Source organism: Homo sapiens, chromosome Y, assembly GCF_000001405.40.
Source record: "Homo sapiens chromosome Y, GRCh38.p14 Primary Assembly".
Taxonomy (NCBI): domain Eukaryota; kingdom Metazoa; phylum Chordata; class Mammalia; order Primates; family Hominidae; genus Homo; species Homo sapiens.
In genome coordinates this window covers 10,111,635-10,117,634 of record NC_000024.10, presented here as the reverse complement: position 1 = coordinate 10,117,634, position 6,000 = coordinate 10,111,635, and the positions used below count along the sequence as shown (strand labels likewise).

General features: G+C 38.8%; 1 annotated feature.

Moving 5' to 3' along the window:
* Positions 1,374-1,875: an enhancer, noted in NCBI's record as "NANOG hESC enhancer chrY:9953369-9953870 (GRCh37/hg19 assembly coordinates)". NCBI's record gives its function as "activates a minimal SCP1, AML or CMV promoter by ChIP-STARR-seq in naive H9 embryonic stem cells {active_cell/tissue: H9 hESC(naive)}" and the evidence as "EXISTENCE:reporter gene assay evidence [ECO:0000049][PMID:30033119]".

The following is a 6,000-nucleotide window of genomic DNA, read 5'->3' as shown; positions in this document are numbered from 1 at the left end:
CTTAACTAATTTCAGCGTTAACTCAAAAGTCAAAAGTCTCATCTAAGACAAAGCTAATTTCTTCCTCCTATAAGCCTGTAAAATAAAAAAACAAGTTAAGTTCTTCCAAGATACAAATGAGACAGAGGCATTGGGTAAACACTCCTATTCTAAAAGGAAGAAATGAGCCAAAAGAAAGGGGCCACAGGACCCATGAAAGTCTGAAACCCAGAAGGGCAGTTATTGAATTGTAAGGCTCCAAAATACTTATTTTTGACTCTCTGTCCCATTTCCAGGGAACACTAATGCCTTGGGAAGATTCTACCTTGTGACTTTGCATGGTTCAGCCCTCACAGCTGCTCTCATGGGCTGGCATTCTGTGCCTCTGGCTTTTCAAGCTGCAAGATGCAGGCTGTAGCTAGATCTACCATTCTGGAGTCTGGAGGACAGTGATCCTCTCCTCACAGATCTACTAGGCCATGACCTAGTTGGGAGCCTCCCTGGGGACTGTCACACTACATTTCTTTTCTCCATTGTTTTAGTAGAGGATCTCCATGAGGGCTCCACCTCTGAAGCATGCTTCTGCCTTCACACCCTGGCTTTTTCATACATCCTCTGAAATAATAGTGGAGGCTCCCAAGTCTCAACTACTTGCTTTTGTAAACCCACAGGCCTAACACCACATGGAAGCTACCAAGGTTACGACTTGCACCTTCTGAACCAGTGACTGGAGTTTAAATGGGTCAATTTGGGCTACACCTGGACCTGAAGCAGTGGCCAGGATGTAGGGAGCCTTGTTCCAAAGCTACCCAAGGCAGCAGGTCCTAGGCCTGATCCCAGAAACTATTCTCTTCTTTCAGGCCTCAGGGCCTGTGATGGGGGGCTGCTTTTTAGATTTCTAAAATGCCTTCAATTCCTCTTTCCCATTGTCTTGGCTATCAAGACTTGCTTTTTTTTTAGGTTATACAAATATCTCTAACAAGTGATTGACCCATGTCCTGCTTGAGTTCCTCTTATAAAAGCTTTTTCGAGTTCAGCCACATGACTAGGCTGCAAAGTTTTCAAGCATTTACACTATGCTTCTTTTGTAAGTATAAGTTACTACTTATTTTATTTTTATTTTTTTTGCTGGAACATGTGAACATAGGTTGTTAGAAGCAGCCAGGCCACATCACAAATGCTTTGCTGCTTAGATATTTTTCCAACAGAAACCCTAGATCATCAATTTCAAATTCACACTTTTCTATATCCCTAGGGCATGACAGAAATTCGGCCAACCACTTTGCTAAGACAACATGCATGACTTTTGTTTCTGTCCCAATAAGTTTCTAGTTTTCATCTGAGACCTCAGCCCGGCATTCACTGTCCAGACCACTATCCACATTTTGGTCACAGACATTCAACCAGTCTCTAAGAAAATCTCAACTTTCCATCATTTTTCTGTCTTCTGAATCCTACAAACTCTTCCAACTTCTATCTGTTTACCCAATTACGAAGCTGATTCCACATTTTGGGTTATTCTTATAACCATTTTCCATTCCTTGGTGCCAATTTTCTGTATTAAGCTATTTTTCCATCACTATGAGAGTGGGACTAGATAATTTATTTTTTACATAGTAGGTTTAAGTGGCTTATGATTCTACAGGCTGAGGAGAAGACATAGTACTGGAATATGTTTCTGGGGAAGTCTCTGGAATTTTGCAGTCATGGCAGAAGTTGAAGCAGAATCTTGCACATCACAGGGCAAAAAGCAGGAGCAAAAAACAGAGGGGAGAGTTGTTACACAGTTTTAACTAAGCAGTTCTTATGGGAACTCACTCACTATCATGAGGATAGCACCAAATGGGATGGTGCTAAGCCATTTATGAGTAATCCATCCCAATGGTTAAATCACCTTCCACCAGGCCCATCTCCATCATTCAGAATTACATTTAAATATGAGATTTGGGGAGGGGACACACATTCAAACCCTATCAGAGGAGTATTTATGCTTTTTCCAATATAAGATTTTATCATTGGCAAAAAAAAAAAGGTAATTTGACTTCTTTTCCAACTGGGATGCATTTTATTGCTTTCTCCTTCCTGTCTGATTGCTCCAGATAGGACTTTCAGCATTATGTTGAATAACAGTGGTAAAAGTGGACATTCTTGTCATCTTCCAGATTTTAGAGTAAAGGCTTTTAGTTTTTCCCCACTTAGTGTGATGCTAGCTGTGGGTCTGTCATATATGACTTTTATTATGTTGAGGTTATGTTCATTCCATACCCAGTTTTCAAAGTGTTTTGTTATTAAAGAATATTAAATTTTATCAAAAATTGTTAGCATAATTGAAATGATTATATGGATTTTGTCCTTGTTTTATTGTTTTGTTTTGTTTTGTTTTGTTTGAGATGAAGTCTCCCTCTGTCACCCAGGTTGGAGTGCAATGGCATGATCTCAGCTCAATGCAACCTCTGCCTCCCAGGTTCAAGTGATTCTCCTTCTTCAGCCTCCCAAGTACCTGGGATTACAGGTGCCCACCACCATAACTGGCTATTTTTTGTATTTTTAGTAGAGACGGGGCTTCACCATGTTGGACAGACTGGTTTCAAACTCCTGACCTCAGGTGATCCACCCACCTCGACTTCCCAAATTGCTGGGATTACAGATGTGAGCCACTGTGCCTGGCCCCTTCATTCTCTTTATGTGATCTATCACATTGATTGAGTTGCATGTTGAACCATCCTTGCATCCCTGGGATAAATCCCACTTGGTCATTATGAATTACTTATTTATGTATTGTTTAATTCAGTTTGCTAGGTGTTTTGCAAATTTTTGCACCAATATTCTCAGATATGGGCCTGTAGTTCGCTTTTTTAAATATGTCTTTGTCTGGTTTTGATATCAGGGTAATACTAGCCTCAAAGAATGAGTTTGGAAGTGTTCTTTCCTTCTCTAGTTTTCAGTCTGGTCCTACAGACTCTTTTATTAAGGCATTAATTTTGTTAATTGTTATTGATCTGTTCAGGTTTTAGATTTTTTCCTAGTTCAATCTTGGTAAGTTGTGTTTGTCTAAGAATTAATTTCCTCTAGGTTTTCTAATTTGTTGGCATAAAATTGCTGAGAGTATTCATTAATGAAACTTTGCTTTTCTGAAGCGTTACTTGTAATGTCTCCTTTTTCACCTCTGATTTACTAATCTGTATCTTTTTTGTTTTTCAGTTAGCCTGTTTAAATATTTGTCAATTGTTTTACTTTTCAAAAAATCAACTTTTTCTTTCATTAATTCTTTACATTATTTTCGTCATTTTAAATTTATCTACTTCTGCTCTAATCTTTATTATTTCTTTTCTTCTAATTTTGGGTTAGGTTTGGTCTTTTTATTCTAGTTAATTAAAATGTATTGTTAGGTTATGTATTTGAAGATTTTCTGTTTTTTATGTAGACACAGTTATAAATTTTCCTTTTATAATAGTACCTCTTTTACTATATTCCATAGCTTTTTCTATGCTATGTTTCCATTATCATTTGTTTCAAGAAATTTTTCTATTTTCTTTTTAACTTTTTTATCGGCCTACTAATCATTCAGGAGCATATTGTTTAATGTCTATGTGTTTGTATAGTTTCTTAAATTCCTTTTTAAATTATTTCTAGTTTTATCCCCTGTAGTCAAAGAAAATGCTTCATATTACTTCAATTTTTTGGAATGTTTTTATACTTGTTACATAACATATGGTCTATCCTTGAAAATAACCCATGTGCAGAGGAGAAGAATGTGTATTATGCAGCTGTTGGATGAAATTTTCTGTAAATATCTATTAGGTTCATTTGTTCTATAGTACAGATTAAGTCTGATGTTTCTTTGTTTATTTTCTGTCTGGAAAGTCTGTCCAATGACTAAAGTGGGGTGTTGAATTGTCCTGCCAATATTGTATTGAGGTCTCTTTCTTTAGCTCTTATAATATTTGCTTCATTTATCTAAGTGCTTTAGTGTTGGGTGCATATATATTTTCAATTATTATATCCTCTTGATGAATTGATCTCTTTATTATTATATAATGACCTTTTAATTTCTTCCTACAGTCTTTTGTTGAAATCTATTTTTGTCTGGTATAAGTATGGCTAGTTCTGCTCTTTTTGGTCTCTATTGGCATGGAATAACTTTTTTCATCCTTCTATTTTCAGTCTAAATGTATCTTTATAGATAAAGTGTGTTTTTTTTTGGTAGGTCACAGATTATTGTCCTGCTTCTCTATCTATTCATCCACTATTTTTCTTTTGACTGGTGTATTTAGTTCATTTAAATTCAATGTTATCAGTGATAAGAACTTACTCCTGCCATTTTTTTATTTTTTTCTCATTGATTTTTGTCCTCTCTTCCTTCTTCCCTTTCTTCCTGTCTTCCTTTTAGTGAAGGTGATTTATCTTGAATTATAATCTAATTTCTTGCTTTTTACTTTTTGTACATCTGTGGTACACTCTTTGATTTGAAATTATCATGAGGCTTGAAAATAACATAATACATTATTTTAGACTGTGGACAATTTAACATTGATTGCATAAACAAAGAAACAAGCAAAACGGAGGTTGGAGCCAAGATGGCTGATAGCAGCAACTCCAGTCTACAGCTCCCAGAATGAGCAACACAGAAGATGGGTGATTTCTGCATTTCCCAATGAGGTACCGGGTTCATCTCACTGGAGAGTGTCAGACCGAGGGTGCAGCACAGTGGGTGCAGTGCACCGAGCATGAGCAGAAGCAGGGTGAGACATCACCTCACCTGGGAAGCACAAGGGGTCAGGGAATTCCTTTTCCCAGTCAAAGAAAGTGGTGACAGATGGCACCTGGAAAATTGGGTCATTCCCATCCTAATACTACACTTTTCCAATTGTCTTAGCAAAAGTCACTCCAGGAGATTATATCTCATGCCTGGATTGGAGGGTCCTAGGCCCACAGAACCTCACTCATTGCTAGCACAGCAGTCTGAGATCAAACTGCAACGTGGCAGCAAGGCTGGGGAAGGGTCCCCTGCCATTGCTGAGGCTTGAGTAGGTAAAGCATCTGGGAAGCTCGAACTCGGTGGAGCCCAATTCAGGTCAAGGAGGGCTGCCTGCCTCTGTAGACTCTACCTCTGGGGGTAGGACATAGCCAAACAAAAGGCAGCAGAAATCTCTGCAGACTTAAATGTCCTTGTCTGACAGCTTTGAAGAGAGTAGTGATTCTCCCAGCTGCAGCTGGAGATCTGAGAACGGGCAGACTGCCTCCTCAACTGGGTCCCTGAACCCCGAGTAGCCCAATTGGGAGGCACACCCAGTAAGGGCGGACTGAAACCTAACATGGCTGGGTACTCCTGTGAGACAAAACTTCCAGAGGAATGATCAAGCAGCAGCATTTGTGGTTCACCAATATCCGCTGTTCTGCAGCCACTGCTGCTGATACCCAGGCAAACAGGGTGAGGAGTGGACCTTCAGCAAACTCCAACAGACCTGCAGCTGAGGGTCCTGACTGTTAGAAGGAAAACTAAGAAACAGAAAGGACATCCATGCAAAAAATCCATCTGTACATCAAAATCATCAAAGACCAAAGGTAGATAAAACCACAAAGATGGGGAAAAAACAGAGCAGAAACAATGGAAACTCTAAAAATGAGAATGCCTCTCTTCCTCCAAAGGAATGCATCTCCTCACCAGCAATGGGACAAATCCAGACGGAGAATGACTTTGATGAGTTGAGAGAAGAAGGCTTCAGATGATCAAATGACTTCAAGCTAAAGGAGAAACTTTGAACCCATGGCAAAGAAGTTAAAAAGCTTGAAAAAAAATTAGATGAATGGCTAAGTAGAATAACCAATGCAGAGAAGTCCTTAAAGGACCTGATGGAGCTGAAAACCATGGCACGAGAACCACGTGATGAATGCCCAAGCCTCAGTAGATGATTCAATCAACTGGAAGAAACGGTATCAGTGATGGAAGATGAAAGGCATGAAATGAAGTGAAAAGAGAAGTTTAGAGAAAAAAGAATAAAAAGAAATGAGCAAACCTCC